At 48.7% G+C, this 22,933-nt stretch overlaps 1 protein-coding gene across 1 annotated transcript in view, besides 1 other annotated feature; it reads right to left on the reverse strand.

Annotated features, from left to right (window-relative positions):
* Nucleotides 5,427–22,933, reverse strand: part of STPG4 (sperm-tail PG-rich repeat containing 4) — a 68,318-nt gene continuing 50,811 nt past the window's right edge. Inside the window, exons 6-7 of the mRNA NM_001163561.2 lie at nucleotides 8,706–8,810; nucleotides 5,427–5,566 (exon numbers count right to left, since the gene is read on the reverse strand). Of these exons, the coding sequence (NP_001157033.1) occupies nucleotides 5,444–5,566; nucleotides 8,706–8,810 (228 nt within the window). The 3' untranslated portion in view covers nucleotides 5,427–5,443. The remainder of the gene's footprint in view (nucleotides 5,567–8,705; nucleotides 8,811–22,933) is intronic.
* Nucleotides 7,357–8,556: an enhancer, noted in NCBI's record as "MED14-independent group 3 enhancer chr2:47316060-47317259 (GRCh37/hg19 assembly coordinates)". NCBI's record gives its function as "activates an origin of replication core promoter dependent on BRD2, BRD4, P300/CBP and CDK7 cofactors, and independent of MED14, by STARR-seq in HCT116 cells {active_cell/tissue: HCT116}" and the evidence as "EXISTENCE:reporter gene assay evidence [ECO:0000049][PMID:35650434]".

Consider the following 22,933-nt stretch of genomic DNA (forward strand, 5'->3'; position numbering starts at 1 on the left):
GCCATAAGTACCATTTATAAAACAGGAGAGTTCTTCCCATCGCTGACCCCATTCTCCATAATGCAACTTTTAACTAGATTGCTTTTTAAGTGATCTACAAAGAGCGTGTTGTAACATCTAACATGAGCAACCATAAAATCAAACCTCTGGGGATGATTTATAAATCAGTTCTAAATTTCTTTACTACTTTTTTTTTTTTAATTATTTCATCAGATGATTTCCATCAGCATCCAACACCAGCAATGACTGAGGTTATTCAGGCCAAGAGATCTTCCCTAAATAGTATTTTGTGACTCAAAATAATCCAAAGAGCCTCCCCACACTTCAAGGTGACTTTCTACAAGGCTTCTATTTCCTGATAGATCATTGTGAGGGATCCAGAGAAAGGTTAGAAAGAGAAAGGTTAGAAAGGTAGTGTGGTAGGCTGAAATGTCCCCCCAAAAGTGTCCATGTTCTAACCCCCAGAACCTGTGAATATGTTACCTTACAGGGTAAAAGGGATTTGAAAATGTGATTGAATTACGAATCTTGAGATGAGGCCAGGCGAGGTGGCTCACGCCTGTAATCCCAGCACTTTGGAAGGCCAAGGCGGGTGGATCACTTGAGGTCAGGAGTTTGAGACCAGCCTGGCCAACATGGTGAAAACCCATCTCTAGTAAAAATACAAAAAATCAGCCAGGCGTGGTGGTGCCCACCTGTAATCCCAGCTACTTGGGAGGCTGAGGCAGGAGAATCACTTGAACCTGGGAGGTAGAGGTCTCAGTGAGCTGAAATCGCGCCACTGCACTCCAGCCTGGGTGACAAGAGTGAGACTCCATCTCAAAAATAAATAAATAAATAAATAAATAAATAAGAATCTTGAGATGAGGAGGTTATCCTGGATTATCCAGTGGGCCCAATATAACTACAACAGTCCTTATATAAGGCAGGCAGGAGGGTCAGAGTCAACAGGGGGAGATGTGATGACGGAAATGAGAGTGGAGCGATCGGAGGAAGGGCTGCAAGGAAAGAAATGCAAGTGGTCTCGAGAAGCAGAAGACAAGGAAGCCAACTCTCAGAGCTTCCAGAAGGAACCAGCCCTGTCAAAATCCTCACTTTGGCCAAATAAGAATGATTTTGGATTTCTGACCTCTAGACCTGTAAGGTAATAAAATTGTGTTGTTTTGAGCAACAAAGTCTGTGGTCATTTGTTACAGCAGCCACAAGAAATTCACACAGAGGGTTGAGTGAATGAGCTACCCCAGCACAGATGGGCACAAGGGCTCAGGGAGGCCTTTGTCAACCTGCGCTTTGGGGTATTCTGCAAGTCCAGCTCCCATGCCCAGCCCAGGAGGGGCTGAGGATTAGAAGCCTGAATAGGCGTGATCCTGCCTGGTATATTTCCAAGTGTCCACTCTGACGCTGTTCAATCGGGAAAGCTCCAGCAACTTCCCTCCTCCTTGATGGCGCTCAGTGACCATGCAGGGCCTTGGAGCCCTGGAACTTCAGAGCAGGGAAGAGGGGGGCAGCGGCCAGCCTTCATCAAGCCCTGCACTCCACCTGTGACCAGCACAGCTCCCAGCACATTGCCTTGCTGTCCCCCACGGCCTCCTCCCAGGCTGCTAGGCTGCAACGGGGTGAGGTGAATAGAATGCTTGTCAGTACCTGCCTCTGCCCCCACTCAGCCCACTCTGGTGACCAAAGACGCAGTGTCATAGCCTGAGTTAACTTCCTGCAGTCACCCTGTCTGCCTACAGTTTTCAGGAACTAAAGCACACTCCCACCAAAGCAGTCACGGTGCTAGCTTGCTCCCATGCTAGTTAGACCCCTTGGAGCCCCTACAACTGTCTAGAAGGATGGCACCTTTTTCTGGGCTCAAATATGGGCAAGGCTGTTGTTAACAAGACAATTGAGGGGTATGTACTGGGAGGCCTTCCCCTACAAGTCCATCCCCAGGAGCCCCTTCTCTTGCCACTCCGTCCTCCCTCCTCCCATCACCCATCTCCTGCTCCTTCCTTCCTCATGCCCCCACCACCTCCCAGCCTCCCATGGTTCCAGCCTTGGCCCCTCCTGCTCTCCAGAGTTGCCTTTTCTCTGAGGAGGCTGCAAATAAGCCCAGCCAGGGTCTGGGGCTTGGGCACTGGCCCCCAAAGCCCACCCAGCCCTGCTAAGAGGAGGGTGGGACGGGCAGGCCATGAGGCCCTGAATCCAGAGCCCAACCCCTTCCCTTTGAGCCTGGCAGGTTCTATGCGCCTGCAGCCCTGCCCTTGGCCAAAACCAAGGGGTCTGTAGGGACCCCAGCCAAGAATCAGACCAGCAAAAGCACATGGGTTCAGGCCCTTGCTTGTCCTTCTACCCAGAACAACTGTCACCTGGTCATGGTCAGGCACTAGCTTTCCCCAGAAAATCATGTAGGAGTGCAGTTGGCCGGCACCCCAGGGATCAGGAAGCTGAGATCAGCGAGAAGGAGGAGGGTCAGGGGCAAGGAACCCTATCTGGGCAAAAGCCCAGAGCAGGAAGAAGCATCTGCTGGGGGAAACGGAAGCAGCCCAGATGGCCCTGCAGAATCTTCTCCATGGGTTCCACCTCCAGGGGAAGTCTCTGCAGGCCCCCACCCTCTTCCTGCAAGCTGGTATAAACGCTTTCCCCTTATGATTCCGACAGGGTCCTCATTCTCTCCTGGGATGCCAGGGAGCTGCCCTCCACCCCAGTTACACGCACCTCACACGGGCCCCCGCAGCCGTGCCTGCAGCAAAGGTCTGGGCCCTTCTGACCACAGCTCGTGGCCCAGGCGCAGACCCCTGACCCAAGCTGGCCAACTGGATTCTCTCTCCTAGGAATTGGAGACTTGAACCAAGGAGGTGCCGGCTCTATTCTTTTAGAATGTTGACTCAGAAAGTGATATGAGGAGAAGCTGAGGTCGCCGCATTTGATCCTCTACATATAAAGAGGCAGTGAAAGTCAGCCTCCAGAGGGAGAAAAAAGCAGGCCTGAGAGAGGCGGAGGGGAGACCCTGAGGCCTGAGAGAGAGGAGGAAGGTAGACCAAGAGGCCTGAGAGAGGCGGAGGGCAGACCATGAGGCCTGAGAGAGGCGGAGGGCAGACCATGAGGCCTGAGAGAGGCAGAGGGGAGACCATGAGGCCTGAGAGAGGCGGAGGGCAGACCATGAGGCCTGAGAGAGGCAGAGGGGAGACCATGAGGCCTGAGAGGGTGAGAGAGTGAGAGCAAGAACACATACACACACACACACACACACACACACACACAGAGAGAGAGAGACAGAGAGAGAGAGAGACCTGAGAGAGGCAGAGGGGAGACCATGAGGCCTGAGAGACAGGAGGGAGACCATGAGGCCTGAGAGAGGCAGAGGGGAGACCATGAGGCCTGAGAGAGGCAGAGGGGAGACCATGAGGCCTGAGAGAGAGGAGGGAGACCATGAGGCCTGAGAGAGTGAGAGCAAGACACACACACACACACACACAGACACAGAGTGAGAGAGAGAGAGAGAGAGAGAGAGAGAGAGAGAGATGGTTCTTGCCAGCCCCTGGTTTACACTTTTGTCGATGAGATGCCTCTAAATCCTTACAATCTGACCCCCTTCTTCCCCTTGCTAGTTTGAGGGGTTTCTCTAACCTTTCTATCAATGAGCCTTGGCTAAGATACACGTGGCCATCTCCCGCCTCTATCTCATTCTAGAACAGCATCTCAGTGCCAGGTGCTGCCTGAGATGTTGCTTCCTAGAGAAAACACCCTCCATCAGAATGTCCAGCCATTACTTTCGATCATGCAGGGGACTTTAGCCCACTTGGAGAATAAAATTGGAAACTATCTTCCCTGCAGCCATCTTCTCATCAAAGGGGGACAGGAGACACTATCCTGAGACATCAGTCTGATCTTCCAAGTGTCTGTTTTCTGCTCCAAAGGAATGTAATTGTAGGGCGTTTATTCCACAAATGTGAATACATTCCAGGAGATGATGGCCTTCCCTTTCGCCCCTCAACAACCATTTTACAAGGGCCTGTAAGTCTAGGGCTTTGTTGCAGCCAAAAAGAGACATTCCCTTTGTTTGGAGCCCAATTCACAGGGCAGTTGTGGGAGGAGGGTAATGTGTGTGTGGGAGGAAGAGCGGGATTCTCGGGGGAACCAAAGCGGGGACCTAGAGAAGCCAGCATCATAGCAGTTAATGGGGAGGGGCTGGGCTATTTACTAAAATATAACAAAATGTAAGCATTTTATTAGCTCTTCATTTTATTAGCTTTTTAAAAAGACCCTTTGCAATGATTTATTAACCACTCTGGAATCTCCCTAGCCTTTGCTGAGACACCACTGTCATGCATAGGATCTGCCTAGCTAGAGCCCCTTGGGCAGAAAGCATGTGGTCCCAGCCTTCTGAGGACCCTCATCCCCTCCCACACCCTCACTTGCACCCTCCACTGTCATTGGTCCAGACTGCCTCTGTTCCCCTCCAGCAAATGTTTATTCCTGCCCTGGGCCTTTGCCCAGATAGGCTTCCCCACCCCTGACTCTTTCCTCTGCTGATCACAGCCTCCTGATACCTGGGGTGCCGGCCAATCTACCCTCCTCCGTGCGGGCCACCCCTTACCTCCCAGGCTCAGGCCACACTGCCTTCTCCTTCCTCTGAATGCCTGCGGCCTTCCTTGTCACAATGGCTCCTCTGTGCACCTGGTGCAATGATTTGGCAGCTTCCTGAAACTACAGCTCGTCTTCCTGTTGGAACTGCCATCCACGTGAGGGCAGCCCCTTAGCTTCAAACACAGGGCAACTGGCAGGAGATCCTTGGCACAGCTTGTATGGCCTTCCCCCAGCCGGCACTATCCCACACTCCATTTCCGGCACAACCCTCCCCAAACTCAGTCACGTGCCTCATTCATCTTTGTTTCAAGACTCCACTCTCCAACCCCAGCTCAGCACCTTGCACATAGCAGATACTCAAAATGTTGTTGACTTGAAAACACAAATATTCATCAGGTTGAATCAATATTGTTCTTTTCAGGGGATTCAAAGAGAGAAAGAACCAGTTTTGGGGATGCTGTGACGCTCAGCTTGGCCTCTGATTAATGCTGACCGCCCACGGAAGTCTTCAAGAGGGCCATGAGGCCTTATAACCCTGATGCAGTTGAGTTCCAGCTAGAGAGAACAAGGCCACACAGAGCAGAGACCAGACATCTCAGGGCCTGTCTGAGAGCAGCCCGGGGCACAGTCTGTCCGAATCTGCTCTTTGGTAATAAGCATAGTGAACACATAATTTATTGCTCAGACCAGGACACTTTTGAGAGAGAACTGGTAATTATGCTGGGACTATCCCAGATAAGCAAGCAGGACAGTCACCTCAAGCAATCAATCATGTTTTGTGGCCAGACCCCTCCAAGGAATAGACAAAATACAGTTTTCTAAACATGAGAACGTACTAAACCTCAAAGTAGAGCTTGGTGCCAAGATCACTTTATTTTAAAAGCCAATTGTTGTTGTTGAAGAAAAGGCTATGCTCTTGGCCCATTTTGGCTATGGTCGGAGACTGCTTAGGGAATTGTCTTAAAGTTGTATATGCTCCTGGGCCTGGGGTTTTCTGAAAACAGAGCAGAAAACAGGGACTGATGAGACAGTGAAACCAAAACCCTGAGGCTCCTGTGCCTAGCCACTGGCTTGGATGTGGTGGACAAATTCCCCAAGGATGAAGACCAGGGCCACACCAGCCTGGGCTGAAGCCTGGCAGACCCTCGAATTGGAGCATGTCCTTGGAGCAGAGGCTGCTCCTGTTAGGGGCTCATCATGAGGCTGGAGGGGGGCTAACAGGCCAGGCCAAGCCAGGGGCCACCTAGAACCTGCTGGGAGAGGCGGGGTCACATGCCACCTGCATCTCAAGGCACACCTTCTCCCAAAGGGCACTTGGCCCAGGCAACTCCTATCCCGAGGAATGCCATCATCTTTCCCCCGGTGACCTCAGCCTAGCAAGAAGTGAGTGAAGAGAATTAATTCTGAACCTGATTGGTCTAACTCAAAAGCCCAAATCGCCTCTCAAACTCGGGTTGGGTTTTAGTTATTGACCCAGAGTTATTAAAGTAAGGTGTTTCTCAACCAGGGTCCATGGACCCCAGGGTCAGAAGTGTTCTCAAGGGATCCACGAGTTCTAATTTTTAAAAGTCATGTTTTTGTTTTTATAAAATGCTTGAACAAATATTATTATTTATTTATATATTTTTTTGAGACAGAGTCTCGCCCTGTTGCTAGGCTGGAGTGTAGTGCGCGCTATCTCGGCTCACTGCAATCTCTGCCTCCCGGGTTCAAGCGATTCTCCTGCCTCAGCCTCCCAAGTAGCTGGGATTACAGGTGCCCGCCACCACCACACCCAGCTAAATTTTTTTGTATTTTTAGTAGAGATGGGGTTTCACCATGTTGCCCAGGTTGGTCTTGATCTCCTGATCTCGTGATCCGCCCACCTCCGCCTCCTGAAGTGTTGGGATTACAGGTGTGAGCCACAGCACCCAGCCGGGGTTTTTTGTTTTTGTTTGTTTGTTTGTTTTTGGTTTTTTTTTGAGATACGGTCTCACTCTGTCATCCAGCATGGAGTGCAGTGGCAGGACCTCAGCTCACTGCAACCTCCACCTCCTGGGCTTAAGCGATTCTCATGCCTCAGCCACCTGAGTAGCTGGGATTACAGGGGTGCACCACCACACCTGGCCCTATTTTACCAATTATTTAAACAAAGCTTCTCTTCTGCAGTGATAAAATACAAATAAATGCCATTTTCATAGACTAAGACTTCAATTTCTTAGGTCGGTGTCTTCCCATGCTGGTGGCACATGCACATATTCTTGAAGTCCGAAGGCATTTGAGACACCAGTGTAATGGTTAAGATCAAGGGTTTTAGAGTCCAACAAGCCTGAGTTCCAGTCCTAGTCCCACAACCAACAGCTCAGTGGGAGCCTGGGCATGGGCTTCCCATACCTTACCCATCAAACGGGGCAGAGTACCTGCCTCTAGGGGGCTATGAGGCTCACTGGTGTCTCTCTAAGACAAAGAGGCTTGGACAGGCCAGCAGTTAGCTACCACCACTATTATTTTTTACTATTATCACCTACTTGTCATTTCCACCCTGCCCTGCAGTTTCTTATCTCTTCAGGAAACAGCAAGAGTGGAGCAGAGCAGTCAGTCCAGAGCACATGAGATCAGCTGCCTGCAGAAACCGCTTTAAATGACAGGATGTTTCCCTTGCCAAAAGCAGAGGAGCAGCCTGGAAATCTAATCAAGTCCTAGCCAAACGTCAAAGGAAGCTGAAGCCTTTATTATTGCTATTAATGAGGGTTCAAAGTGCATGTGGAGTCCTGGGAGGCCAGGGCAGAGAAAAGAAGGTTCAGGGGGCCTGCATCTCACAAGGCCACCCCTCGGGAGGCTGCTGGTTGGGGTTCAGCCACCTTGAGAACATCAAGCTCAGTTCCCCTCCCCTGATTTCACTGCCACCAACAACCTTCTGGTTGTCTTCAGCTTCCATGAAAATTTTCTATAAGGGAGAGACTCCACCAATCAGTGCTCCAGTCACCACGCCCGTATGGTGAATGCTTAGAAGTTAACACTACATCTTCTGTTGCCTGGGAGTTTGGTTAGCATGACTCAGCGTTCCTGAGAATGCCTGACCCCGTGGGCTCCGACAAACATGTTTCTGGATCATGGTGATGCCACTAAGGTGTGTGGATCCCCCAGCCTCCTGCTGTCAGTCTGTCTGCAATTTCACTGGCAGGGCCTCCCCATTATCACTCTAGATAAAGGCTGTGCTACCTTACTCTGCTGCCCAGCAGCTCTGGGGCAGAGATTCTGCAGGCCATGGCCTGGGATATAGGCTAAGGAGGGCTACGGGAGGTGATTTGCAGCCCAGGCAGTGGCAGTACTAGTCCTCTCCTACCCACCGCTCCAACTTCTCCTTCTAGCCCCTTGACTCCCCTGGGTGGGCCCATTTTCTTACAGGCAGAATTTGTATTTCTGTTTCCCCAGCCATCTCAAATGAGTCTACATACCAGCAAGTCTTGGGGACTTTCAGACCGTATTGCAGACTGAAAGCAACAAAGCTATGGGAATTAAAACTGTCTTTTGACATTAAAAAAAAAAAATCCACTGTTGGTAAACTTCACATTATGCTTTTATAATCTTTCCTGGTCTTCTCTAGGTTTGGAGGAGTCCTGTATGCTCCCAGGATCCACTTTCTTTGTATCTCTCCATGGACTTGAGCCTCTTCCCTGTCTGTCCTGAGTTTTTGGGGGTGGGGTGATCGCTAATGCCTTAATGGTCCCATTTGGGTCAATAAAAATGTTTCTGCTTCAAATTTTGCTTCCTTGGGCTCCCAGAAGCCACACACACAGAGAACAGCCATTCTGGCTGGCAGGAGGCAGCCACTGCAGGTACCCCCAACAAAGCATCTAGTTGGTAACATTGATGGCTGATTAATGTGCTGCTTCCAACTGGCCCCATAATTCAGCCACAGATTTTGGGCCTGGAGTCACTCTGAACCTGAAGTTGGTTGAGAACATCCAGGTATTTGAGGATTTCACTCCTGATTGCCTTGACAGGCAACTGTATCTACCAGAACTGTACACACATGATCATTCCCCCATCTCACCACCACCCCGCACCTCCTACACACATAGAAACAGAAAACCTACCACCATAACCATACCCCTAGGGGTGGGGGGCGATCTGTCTTTCCGAATACTTACTGAACAGCTGGGCAAGAATCGAGGGACTCTGGATTGAAAACAAGAAGTGACAGAGCTTGTTGGAGGCATTTTCACATTATAATGACCTGGACCAGGGCCTTCATGCTATTGAACATTTAAAAAATTGCTTCATTATTATTGTACATTTGATATATTTTAAGGCTTTATTTGCCTTCTACAAATAAACATATGAATCACTGTGATATAGTAGAAAAATCCCATATTTGGTCTCGAGAGATCTCTTTAAGGTGTGAGCTGGGACAAGTCATTGTGAAACGGGAGTAACTCCTGCCTCACCTTCCTTGTGCACGATGGTGAGGAGTGAAGGAACGTTAGGTGAGCAGTACCTGCCTCCCTTCTCCCTGCCAGGGTCCCTGATGCCCCCAGGCTCCCAGCCCACACTCAGGTCCCCCGTTCCCTCACAGCAGCATGCATGCCTCATGCCGTACTTCTCCCTCTGACTGTTAAAGGTGACTTGCTGCTCCAAGCTGTTAGCTTTATAAAAATGCTTATTCTTTCATATAAATGTCATATATGTTATCTCAGTCCAAAAAAGTATTCATAGCAATTCACTGATATAAGCACAATGCTATGAGATAAACATAAATAGGTGAACACAATTTTAAAAAGACAATCACTCCAGTAGGAAAATTAGCAACAGGCCATTCATGAAGAGGATATACAAACGTTCAATGAGCAAACTTTGAGGAAGGAGGGCTTTAACCTCATTTATAACCAAATACATTCTAATTTAAAAAACAAACTTCCTTTTTTTCCCACGGGGTGAGGGGAAGGGGGTTCTAAAAATTAAAACAGGTTAAGAAAGAACAGAGAGAGGAAGGAAGAAAGGGAGGGAGAAAAGGAAGGAAAGAAGGAAGGGAAGGGAGGGAGGGAGGGAGGGAGGGGAAGGAAGGAGAGAGGGAAAGAAGGAAGCCAAAGCTTTAACAACAAGCACAAGCACTCCTTATGATGCTGGCAGAAGCATAAATTCGCTCAGCCTTTCCAGAGTGCAATCTGGCAAGATATGAAACAGCTTAAAACATATATGCCTATCCAGAGAGGGAGAAAGAAGAAAGGAGAGTGGTTATTGGTTGTTGCAGGAAACCAGGAGACAAATGATGAGTCTTCAGCCTAGAATGTGGCAGGGAAAATGGGAATAGCCCAAACACCACACTGGATAATGCTAACATGATGTTCATCTTTTTTTTCCCCTAGTAATTCGCTTTTTTCCCCCCTCCATTTTCAAATAGCTAGGGTTCCTTGCCTCAGGAGTGGGACAGGGCAAAAAACAGAAATAAGTGTTTTTCTAGCATGATGTCTTAGATCTGTTTCTAAATAATGCAGGAGTTAGGGGAAGTGGGTGGGAGTATTAACCCAAAACACTGGCCTAAAATTGAACATTGTTGAATTGTTGACTAGGTATATGAGGTTTCAATACAGTATTCTAAGTTGTATATGTTTTTCAAGTTTTCACAAAACGGAGTTTAAGATGACATATATTTATTATTTTGACCCAGCAATTCCAGTTTTAGGCATTCACCCTAAGAAAACAATTGAGAATGTGTGCAAATATTTAGCCACAAAGACTGTAACATTGTTTCCAAAAGTGAAAACTGGGAAATAAACTAAATAATGGATGATATGTGCCTGGTTCAATAAATTACAACGCTTCCATCCAGCAGTCCAGTGTTGATGAGTTTTTATAGACGTAACAACTACTCCCAAATGTCATTAAGTCAAAAATGCAAGCTGAACAAATGTGCATTAAAAAAACTTGGAATGAAATTATCTCAGAATGTTCATAAACAGTAGTTTTCTTGGGGTAGTGGTGTGTTGAATAAAAAGCAAACAAAAAATTTTTTTTGCTTATATGCATTTTCTAATTTTTCTACAATGAACACAAGTACTCCTAAAACAAGAAAAAAAGATACTTAATGTATAGATAAATGACTATGGAAATTAGGTAAAGAAGAAAAGAGGCCAGGCATGGTGGCTCACGCCTGTAATCCCAGCATTTTGGGAGGCCAAGGCTGGTGGATCACTTGAGGTCAGGAGTTCAAGACCAGCCTGGGCAACATGGTGAGACCTTGTCTCTAAAAAATATAAAAATTAGCCAGTTGTGGGGGTGTGTTCCTGTGGTCCCAGCTACTTGGGAGGCTGAGGTGAGAGGATCACCTGAGCCACAGAGGTCAAGGCTGCAGTGAGCCATGATCATGTCACCGCACTCCAGCCTGGGAAACAGAATGAGACCCAAGAAAAGAAAAGGGGAGGGGAGGGAGAAAGGGAGGGGAGGGAGAAGGGGAGGGGAGGGAGAAGGGGAGGGGAGGGAGAAGGGGAGGGGAGAGGAGGAGAAAGGGAGCAGAGGGGAGAGGAGGAGAAAGGGAGGGGAGGGTAGAGGAGAGAGAGCCAGCAGTAAGGTCATAATAGGGACATGTATCTGTAAGATCCTTATAATAGGTAAGGCTGGCCACAAATGAGCACCACAGTTTTCGCAGAAGAAGCACTGCACTGCAGACCCTCCACGGTTCTGTTTTTTTTTTTTTGAGACAGTCTCACTCTGTCACCCAGGCTGGAGTGCAGTCACGCCATCTCGGCTCACTGCAAGCTCCGCCTCCTGGGTTCAAGCGATTCTTCTGCATCAGCCTCTCAAGTAGCTAGGACTACAGGTGCGTGCCACCAAGCCTGGCTAATGTTTGTATTTTTAGTAGAGATGGGGTTTCACCATATTGGCCAGGCTGGTCTCGAACTCCTGACCTCATGATCTGCCCGCCTCAGCCTCTCAAAGTGCTGGGATTACAGGTGTGAGACACCGCACCCGGCCCTTCCACAGGATTTAAAGCAAGGCTTTCCCATTCTCTCTGGCAGGTGGCACAGCCATGTAATTGGGGCTGCCATTCTCAATTACTCCACCATGAATGGAGTCTGTTATTATCAGCCAAGCACACATCTGATAATCAAGGGATAGATGCCCCTCATCATTTTTACAACTCATGGCAGAGAGATGAAAACAGTCATGTTTTCAAACTGATGTATACGTGTGACAGAGGTTGCTGTCAGGGTGAGGCTCTCTGTGTGGTGTGAATTCTGTACTCACATTGAAGAAATCTAAGCCCTAATAAACACAAAGAAGCAAAACGCCAAGAAAATCTGCACAGGAACAGTTTGTGCAGGAGCCTCTCAGTTTGGCCATAAAGATGCAGTGCTCTGAAGCCAGATGAGTAGCTGGGGCAAGAGATGATGCTGAGTGTGCGACCATTGATTCCACACCTATGATGGCCATCTGCAGAATGGCTAAGGAGCGACCTGCCCCTTTTCCCCAGGCCTAATGCGGCTTTGCTTTCTAAAGCTTCCTGGTCTCAAGCTGCCTGGGAGTCCAGGCATGAAGGCTGATGAAGCATGATGCATGGCCATCCCATCCAGCAGTTTCCTTGCATGGACTTGGTCATCTGAATCACAGGGACTAAGATGTGCTGCAGAAAGAAGTTACTGAACGCTATTCCACATGTGGCAGATGGGATCTTTAAGAGGGAGCACTGAGGAAGTGGATATAAGCCCAAGTTCATATTCCAAAGCCACAGGCATGCTGCGGCAAAGCCGTGACTATTCTGAGACTGCTCATGGCCGGGCCCTGCAATGGCCGGGCAACAGCTCTAGCAGAGTCCCCACTGCTGCCCCATCCGAGGACGGCTTGAGTGGACAGATGGCTCGGGATGTGCCATTTCTGAACCCAGTTCAATAGGAGGGTGTTTAAAACAAGAGGGACATTTGAACCATGTTCTCCTCTTCCTTAAAGCTGAGCACTCTGCTCTCTCCTTTACTGGGGATCCTCAAGTGTGATCTAGACCTTGGGTCTCACATTGTGTATGATACGTGTGCAGAGGGAGGCCTCGGATTCACCAAGCAGCACTAAGCATCTCTTCCACAAATCAAATGGGCCATTTCTTAAACCTTGCTTTTGTCAGGGTCATGCTTTGGCAACTGTGGGTTTACCAAAGCTAAGCCTTTCAAAGACCACTGACAAAAATTCTGTCTCCAGGGGAGAACAGAATAGTCACCTTCCTGGAGTCCTAGAACTTGATGTCAAAAGAAACAACAGGGAACCTTTACAGTATCTATTCCTCAGCTCTGGTACATGATTACATCTCAACCCTCCTGATGAGAATATCATTCTCTTCCCTTTGAAGAAGCCCTATTTAATTGTGCTTTTATTTGAGGGCAACTTTAACCAACGGGAGCTGTAAGGATTATTACACAGATGAATAAAATACTCTCTTTGGCCTCTGGGGAGTTTGGAGTCCAGTGAGGGATATAGGCAGAACCAAACAGAAACACCACAAAAGAATAAACGGAGATAGGAGGGGCTGGGGTGGTGCTGAGCAAGAGCTGAGCTATCTGCCTGGCTTTCAGATGCCAAACCAGGCTCTGGTGTAACAGGGCTGTCTTGTTAAGTGTGATCCCAGTGGGTTACGGGATGTCGCCAAGGCCAGGAGCTTTCATCTTGCTGCAAAAGACTCAGACTTTCCTGGAGAGCTCCTAGGTCTCTGTCATACCGCGAAGAAGCCTGGCTTATTGGTTCCAACTTCTGATGGGTCATAATGCTGTATAACATTACAGGCCTTTGGTAAGCCTGACATTTCCTGCCTGCACACACTCCTCCCCAGGGCTGGGAGGCTGGGACTGGTTAATCTGTATCATCAATACACTCCTCTGGAGTGAAGACGTGTATCACTCTGGGGCAGCCCAGGGCAGCCAAATGCCAGATGCCTCCTAGAGAACGTGAGAGTAGATGAAACTGTCCCAAGTTGTTAGGCATCAAATTCTATACCCCCCAATCATAAGTCCTGTGAATTTCCATTGTGTTGACATGGCTTCCATGCTGAATACTGTCTCTCCCCAGTTTTTAAGGTCTTATGAATTTGGAGTTCCCGGTACCTCAGTATGGGACCTGATTTGGAAATAGGGTTGTTGCAGATGTAATTATTTAAGCTGCAGTCATTAGGGTGGGGCCTCGTCCAACATGGCTGGTGTCCTTTATTAAAAGGGGAAATTTGGATACAGAGACATGCTCACAGGGAAAACACCATGTGAAAACAAAGGCATGGAACTCTAAACCGAGGAAGACCAAGGAATGCCAGCAAGCCACCACGAGCTGCGAATGAGGCATGAACAGATTGTCCCTCACAGCACTCAGAAGGAACCCACACTGCCAACACCTTGGGCTGGGACTTCCAGTCTCCAGAACTGTGAGACAACACATTTTTCTTGTACTGGGCACAACAAATACCCAGTCTGTGGTACTTTGTTATGGCAGCCCTAGCACATGAATACATCAGTGTTCAGCTCATGTCTTTATTCAGCCAATATACATTGTTCCAGGCCATGGGCTGGAAGCTGGGAATACAGTGATATATGACTGTCTCCTAACAGCTGCTCTCTCTTCATTTCTTAGTGTTAGAACAATTTTTAACTGGGCTCATGTCTACCCAGAATAAGGATTCACTTTCCCAGCCTCCCTGGCAGCTAGGTGTGGCTGCAGGACTAATCCTGCGCCAACAGGATGGAGGTGGCAAAGGTGCATGCAAATTCCAAGGGGAAGCCTTCAGGAGAGGGCATATTGTGTTTCTTCCCCACGCTCCTTCCTGCCCACTGGGCCCCTGTTCCCTACTCTCTGGGACCATGAGGATGGAAGCCATGCTCAGCAGAACAGCCCATAGGAGGAGTCTGATGCAGTAGAGTTACCACAAAAGCCCTAAACTGCCGACTGCAGAGACTGTATACAAGAGAGAAATCAATTCCTATCTTGCTTATAACATTGTTATTTAAGGTCTGTGTTACTGGCAGCAGAACTTAGTCCTCATCGACCAAGTAGGCGTGGATTTCCTATGCTCATCAGCCTCACATCCTAGCAAGGAAGGCATACCTTACCAAAAATAAATAAATCAATCAATCACAGTGTGGGGAGTATCACACAAAGGGATGTATAGGATGCTATGGAGAGCACCTCAGAGAGTAAACCCATCTGGTCCAAGGGGTCCGAGACGCCTCTCAAGGAAGTACATTTGAGGCTGGTGGAAGGGTTTGTGGGAAGCTGTGTTGGGAAAGCTAGGCCAAAATGGGCAGGGCCTCGAGGACAAGCCTAGAGAGAAGGATGTTATTCACTTTAACCTTGCTGGGACAAATTCACTGCATTGCAAAAACAAAATAAAAAGTGTTAACTGGACTGTGCTGATTTAATTAGTAGAAAAGACCAAAGAACAGATGATTAGTGGTCGCCGAGATATCTTCATCTGTGTGCAAGTTAACAGTAGGAATTCTCTTCCATTCAACTTTCTGAACCATGAATGTCCCAGGGGGTTAGGGACTGCTGCTGGGTTGAATGTGTCAAACCTCATTAAAACCAAGCTTAAAAAGTCAAATCCACAAATATTCACTGAAACCTGCTGTGAGCAAGGTATTTAGGCCAGAGATTCTGGCAGATGTTAAAGACATTTCGTCTAGGATCATTGACTTCAGGGTGCCTACAATCTAGTTGTGAAGACAAGGACAAAAATCTAGTGAAAATCCCAATATACGAATTAAGGAACCACCACCACCACAGCAACCAAAAAGCAAACTGTCACAGAATAGAATTCAATATGAAATGAGTGAGTATACCAACTCGGAGGGCTTATGGTGAGTTCACAGTGAGGGGAGGCCACGGGGAGAGGCAAGTGATATGAGGAAGCTCCAGGGAAGAGGCATCTGGAGTAACCCCTTGAAGATAGGGAGGACACAGGTGGACAGGGAGGGAGGGATATGAGGGGCAAAGGCACGGAGCAAGCAGGTAGAGACTGGCGGAGTGCACTCAGATTCATGTGCAAAAGGGATTTTTAATCATTACTATGTTACAAAATTTAATTTTAAGTTGTTAAGACAAATGAGATCATGTAAACTCATGAGGAAAATAAACCATAGAGCAAATCCTTTAATATGAGATATGACTCAATCTTACTCCATAGTAACCAACTTGAATTTGCTAAACTTACTTTAAAAAAATCATCCTTCCCCAGAAAGCGCACACGTTCTATTTCCCAGGTGAAGAATCTCTGTGCTCTGCTATGGTCTGGATGCTGATGTCCCCCCAAAATTCGTATGTTGGAACCTAATGGCCCCTGTGATAGTGTTAAGATGTGGGGCCTTTGGGAGGTGATTATGTCATTAGGGCTTCTTCCTCAGGGATGGGACTCCTGCGCTTATAAAAGAGGCCTGAGGAAGCTTGTCTGCCTTCCTCAGACAGGAAGGATGCTGCTTTCTAGCTGCATCCTCTTATGGTGGAAGCTTCTGCCCTTCGCCACGTGCAGATACAGCTAGAAGCACCATCTATGAGGAAGGGGCCCTCATCAGACACCAACCTTGATCTTGGACTTCCTGGCCTCCAGAACTGTGAACAATACATTTCTATGGTTTATAAATTACCCAGTCTAAGGTATTTTGTTACAGCAGCAGGAATGGACTAAGTGGACCAAGAAACATGTGGTGTGTATTCACAGATGTCTGCATAGGCTCCTGTCAAAAAATGCACTGAGGGGCTGGATGCAGTGGCTCACGCCTGTAATCCCAGCACTTTTGGAGGCCCACGTGGGTAGATCTCTTGAGGCCAGGAGTTTGAGACCAGCCTGACCAACATGGTGAAACCCCATCTCTTAAAAAAAAAAAAAAAAAAATGCACTGAGGGACCTGAAATTCAACTTTCTCAGGTTAACACCTTTTTGCTTTTCACGTGTGTATGAACATGAGAATGGTTTTTACAGTCTGATGGCAGATGTAAACATCTAAATGTCACCATGTATTTCCAGTTTCTGCAAGCCTTCATTCTGAATTCTCGTTTACAGACAGGAGCAGATTAAAGCCCTTTGGGTGCTGGTCTTCCAGGCCTCCTCTCTAGCCTGACCCAAAACGGGTTCACCAGGCAGCCTTCACTGCTGCGCACTGACAGCTCCCCACAGACCGGAGAGCCAGAGTGCTGCCCCTCCCTGCAGCCATCTCTACTTCACAGCATTCTTTCATACACCTACTTTCATTTCATCCTCATGCCAGCCTGGTGCAGGAGGTGCTAATATCTCTATTTAACAGATGAGAAAGTGAGGCTCAGCGGGGTTAGAAACCAGTGATTTAGCGTTTCAGCTGTGGGAGCCAGAACCAGTTACTGGCCTTGCTTCTCAGGGCTGGAAAGTATCAGTAGTTAGTTCTAAGCTGTTTTTCTTTAAAATCGTAAAGCTAAAGGGAGTCTAGAAAGAGCACACAATCCACTCCCATTTATCTTAGCACAAACAGCTTTCAGTTGATATATTGAAAAGAGAAAGGGTCAGAAAAAAATTATGACCCCAAATATCTATATATATCCATGCATTAAATACAAGTAATAAGCAGCATAAACTGAAATTACTACATGGGGTGGTAAAAATGATCTCCCCAAATTTGGTGTGTGTGACACACTGCTCAAAAGAGGAAAAAAAAAAAAAAGCCCCTCAGCAAGGAGGACAGAATCCTGTGTGGAGGTGGGTACAGAGAAAAGCTACAGCCACCTCTCTGGGCACTCAAGAGGTGGTGTGTGGCAGGGCCTATGCAACTCAGGAAATTCTAGAATTCTGTCAACATTGGTCTACAGGTTCCCAAGACAAGGGGGTCATATACGCTGGTGGATGGGGTAGAAGCAAACCTGTTAGGGGCCAAAAGTTATTCACATTTGCAAAATTAGTAATTGGCGATACCTCTGAAGTCTACCTTGGTACTGTTTATTTCTGCAAAGAGAGAAAATATGACGGTCTGGGTTTCTAGTTAGGCTGTCACATGGGAGGGGCAACACCAAGTGATCACAAACCTGCCCCACCTCAAGGTGCAGCTTTCACAGGAACACACATGCCAAGGACGCCCAGGTAATTCAGACTGGCTGTAGGTGTTCACTGCCTCATCCTCTGTTTTCTTAGGAGGCCGCAGGAGCAGAAGGCAACCCACAATGGTTTGAAATCTGAGGCAGTTCTGGCCTCAAACTTGGACAGGGCTGGCAACTGCCCTGAACCCTCTCCTCCCACTTCCCCAGGCTGCTGCCCCAGGTGTGAGAGCTGCCCTGACAACGCAAATGGCTAAAGCCTCAGCACCGGCAGGAGCAGGACTAGGAAGTTCTCTTACATCTCCCAGATGCTTTGCTAACAGTAGGAGAAGCAACTTCAGACAAGTGAGGCACCAAAGGAATGAAGGGCATTGAGAAGAATGGAAATCTGGAAGGCCATCTTTCTATTTTTGAGAGGTGACAGCGTGCTGGCAGTCCTCAGAGCCCTCGCTCGCTCTCGGCGCCTCCTCTGCCTGGGCTCCCACTTTGGCGGCACTTGAGGAGCCCTTCAGCCCACCGCTGCACTGTGGGAGCCCCTTTCTGGGCTGGCCAAGGCCAGAGCCGGCTCCCTCAGCTTGCAGAGAGGTGTGGAGGGAGAGGCGCGAGTGGGAACCGGGGCTGCGCGTGGCGCTTGCGGGCCAGCTGGAGTTCCGGGTGGGCATGGGCTTGGTGGGCCCCACACTCAGAGCAGCTGGTGGGCCCTGCTGGCCCCGGGCAATGAGGGGCTTAGCACCCAGGCCAGCAGCTGCGGAGGGTGTACTGGGTCCCCCAGCAGTGCCAGCCCACCAGTGCTGTGCTCAGTTTCTCGCTGGGTCTTAGCTGCCTTCCCAAGGGGCAGGGCTCGGGACCTGCAGCCCACCATGCCTGAGCCTCCCACCCCTTCCATGGGCTCCTGTACAGCCCCAGCCTCCCTGATGAGTGCCGCCCCCTGCTCCAAGGTGCCCAGTCCCATCGACCACCCAAGGGCTGAGGAGTGCGGGCACATGGTGCGGGACTGGCAGGCAGCTCCACCTGCAGCCCTGGTGTGGGATCCACTGGGTGAAGCCAGCTGGGCTCCTGAGTCTGGTGGGGACGTGGAGAACCTTTATGTCTAGCTCAGGGATTGTAAATACACCAATCAGCACTCTGTATCTAGCTCAAGGTTTGTAAACACACCAATCAGCACCCTGTGTCTAGCTCAGGGTTTGTGAATGCACCAATCCACACTCTGTATCTAGCTACTCTGGTGGGGCCTTGGAGAACCTTTGTGTCAACACTCTGTATCTAGTTAATCTAGTGGGGACTTAGAGAACCTTTATGTCTAGCTCAGGGATTGTAAACACACCAATCAGCGCCCTGTCAAAACAGACCACTCGGCTCTACCAATCAGCAGGATGTGGGTGGGGCCAGATAAGAGAAAAAAAGCAGGCTCCCCGAGCCAGCAGTGGCAACCCACTCGAGTCCCCTTCCACACTGTGGAAGCTTTGTTCTTTCGCTCTTTGCAATAAATCTTGCTACTGCTCACTCTTTGGGTCCACACTGCTTTTATGAGCTGTAACACTCACCGCGAAGGTCTGCAGCTTCACTCCTGAGGCCAGCGAGACCATGAGCCCACTGGGAGGAATGAACAACTCCAGACACGCCACCTTAAGAGCTGTAACACTCACCACGAAAGTCTGCAGCTTCACTCCTGAGCCAGTGATACCACGAACCCACAAGAAGGAAGAAACTCCGAACACATCCGAACATCAGAAGGAACAAACTCCAGACGCGCCACCTTAAGAGCTGTAACACTCACCACGAGGGTCCGCGGCTTCATTCTTGAACTCAGTGAGACCAAGAACCCACCAATTCTGGACACATTTTGGCGACCCAGATGGGACATTTGCCTATCACCAAGCGGTGAGACAATCGCCAAGCGGTGAGACCATCGCCGAGCAATGAGACCATCACCTATCGCCAAGCAGTGAGTACCATCGGACCCCTTTAGCTTGCTATTCTGTCCTATTTTTCCTTAGAATTCAGGGGCTAAATACCGGGCACCTGTCAGCCAGCTAAAAGTGACTAGTGCGGACACCGGACTAAAAACATGGGTGTCAGGCTTTCTGGGAGGGGGCTCTCTAACAACCCCCGACTCTTCAGAGTTGGGATCATTGGTTTGCCTAGAACCAGCTTCTGCTTTTCCTGTACTTCTGGGCTGAGCCGAGGGTTGACAGAGAGGAAAGCCATGCAGCTCCAGGGTCCCGACAACAAGTTGGTTGACCCTGCGGCCATGAGCAGAACTCTAAAAGCATGTCACCCAAGCGAGACTCACCCATCTATCCTATCTATCCTGACCCTTGCCCCCTGGGTCCTAAGGCCTGCCACACAAACTTCCTCTCACCTCTCTTCTCTGAGGTTAGTCCCGCTTCTAAAAATTGCTACCTGTCTCTGGTGCTTTTTTAGTTTCTCCTATAAGAATGATTTCTACTATAAACTCCAGGACTCTGTTACCTTCTTTAGGCACCCGGGTTCACCAATCAGAAAGACATAATTTTTGCCCAAAGCCCCATCATAGTGGGGACTACCTGGAATTTTAGGATCCCTCCTCAGACTAACAGGCCTAACAAAAGCTATTCCTGAAGCTAGGATATGGGGAGCCTCAGAAATTGTATCCTTCCTATTCATGAGCAAAGGTGTCACTCTTCCAACCCTGAAGATCCCTTCCCTCCCTCAGGGTATGGCCCTCCACTTCATTTTTGGGGCATAACATCTTTATAGGAAAGGGGTAAAGTCCCAACACTAACAGGAGAATGCTTAGGACTCTAACAGGTTTTCGAGAATGTGTCGGTAAGGGCCACTAAATCCGATTTTTCTCGGTCGGTCCTCCCTGTGGTCTAGGAGGACAGGCAAGGGTGCAGGTTTTCGAGAATGCGTAGGTAAGGACCACTAAATCCAACCTTCTTTGGTCCTCCATGTGGTCTGGGAGGAAAACTAGTGTTTCTGCTGCTGCGTCGGTGAGCCCAACTATTCCGATCAGCAGGGTCCGGGGACCGTTGCAGGTTCTTGGGCAGGGGTTGTTTCTGCTGCTGCGTCAGTGAGCGCAACTATTCCAATCAGCAGGGTCCAGGGACCATTGCAGGTTCTCGAGCAGGGGAAGAAACAAAATAAACCAAAACTGCGGGCGGTTTTGTCTTTCAGATGGGAAACATTCAGGCATCAACAGGCCCACCCTTGAAATGCATCCTAAGCCTTTGGGACCAATTTGACCCATAAACCCTGAAAAAGAGGCAGCTCATTATTTTCTGCACTACGGCTTGGCCCCAGTATTCTCTCTCTGATGGGGAAAAATGGTCATCTGAGGGAAGTACAAATTACAATACTATCCTGCAGCTTGACCTTTTCTGTAAGAGGCAAGGCAAATGGAGTGAAATACCTTATGTCCGAGCTTTCTTTTCATTGAGAGAGAATACACAACTATGCAAAGCTTGCAATTTACATCCCACAGGAGGACCCCTCAGCTTACCCCCATATCCTAGCCTCCCTATAGCTCCCCTTCCTATTAATGATAATCCTTTTCTAATCTCCCCTGCCCAGAAGGAAGTAAGCAAAGAAATCTCCAAAGGACCATAAAAAACCCCGGGCTATCGGTTATGTCCCCTTCAAGCTGTAGGGGGAGGGGAATTTGGCCCAACCCGGGTACATGTCCCCTTCTCCCTCTCTGATTTAAAGCAGATCAAGGCAGACCTGGGGAGGTTTTCAGATGATCCTGATAGGTACATAGATCCTATGTACCTATCAGGTCCTACAGGGTCTAGGGCAAACCTTTGACCTCACTTGGAGAGATGTCATGCTACTGTTAGATCAAACCCTGGCCTGTAATGAAAAGAATGCAGCTTTAGCTGCAGCCCGAGAGTTTGGAGATACCTGGTATCTTAGTCAAGTAAATGACAGAATGACAGCCGACGAAAGGGACAAATTCCCTACTGGTCAGCAAGCCATCCCCAGTATGGATCCCCACTGGGACCTTGACTCATATCATGGGGACTGGAGTCGTAAACATCTGTTGACCTGTGTTCTAGAAGGACTAAGGAGAACTAGAAAAAAGCCCATGAATTATTCAATGATGTCCACCGTAACTCAGGGAAAGGAGGAAAATCCTTCTGCCTTCCTCGAGCAGCTACGAGAGGCCTTAAGAAAATATACTCCCCTGTCACCCAAATCACTCGAGGGTCAATTGATTCTAAAAGATAAGTTTATTACCCAATCAGCCGCAGATATCAGGAGAAAGCTCCAAAAGCAAGCCCTGGGCCCTGAACAAATTCTAGAGATATTATTAAACCTGGCAACCTTGGTGTTCTATAAGAGGGACCAAGAGGAACAGGCCCAAAAGGAAAAGCGAGATCAGAGAAAGGCCACAGCCTTAGTCATGGCCCTCAGACAGACAAACCTTGGTGGTTCAGAGAGGACAGAAAATGGAGCAGGCCAATCACCTGGTAGGGCTTGTTATCAGTGTGGTTTACTGGGACACTTTAAAAAAGATTGTCCAATGAGAAACAAACTGCCCCCTCGTCCATGTCCACTATGCCGAGGCAATCACTGGAAGGTGCACTGCCCAGAGGATGAAGGTTCCCTGGGTCAGAAGCCCCTAACCAGATGATCCAACAACAGGACTGAGGGTGCCCGGGGCAAGTGCCAGCTCATGTCATCACCCTCACTGAGCCCCGGGTATGTTTAACTATTGAGGGCCAGGAAATTGACTTCCTCCTGGACACTGGCACAGCCTTCTCAGTGTTAATCTCCTGTCCTGGACGACTATCCTCAAGATCCATTACCATCTGAGGAATCCTGGGACAGTCTGTAACCAGGTATTTCTCCCACCTCCTCAGTTGTAATTGGGAGACTTTGCTCTTTTCACATGCCTTTCTTGTTATGCCTGAAAGTCCCACACCCTTATTAGGGAGAGATATATTAGCCAAGGCTGGAGCTATTATCTACATGAATATGGGGAACAAGTTACCCATTTGTTGTCCCCTACTTAAAGAGGGAATCAACCCTGAAGTCTGGGCATTGGAAGGACAATTTGGAAGGGCAAAAAATGCCCACCCAGTCCAAATCAGGTTAAAAGATCCCACCACTTTTCCTTATCAAAAGCAATATCCCCTAAGGCATGAAGCTCATAAAGGATTACGGAATACTGTTAAACATTTGAAAGCTCACGGCTTAGTAAGGAAATGCAGCAGTCCCTGCAACACCCCAATTCTGGGAGTAAAAAAACCAAACGGTCAGTGGAGACTAGTGCAAGATCTTAGACTCATTAATGAGGCAGAAATTCCACTATATCCAGTTGTACCCAACCCCTATATCCTGCTCTCTCATATACCAGAGGAAGCAGAATGGT

This window comes from Homo sapiens, chromosome 2, assembly GCF_000001405.40.
Source record: "Homo sapiens chromosome 2, GRCh38.p14 Primary Assembly".
NCBI classification, from domain to species: domain Eukaryota; kingdom Metazoa; phylum Chordata; class Mammalia; order Primates; family Hominidae; genus Homo; species Homo sapiens.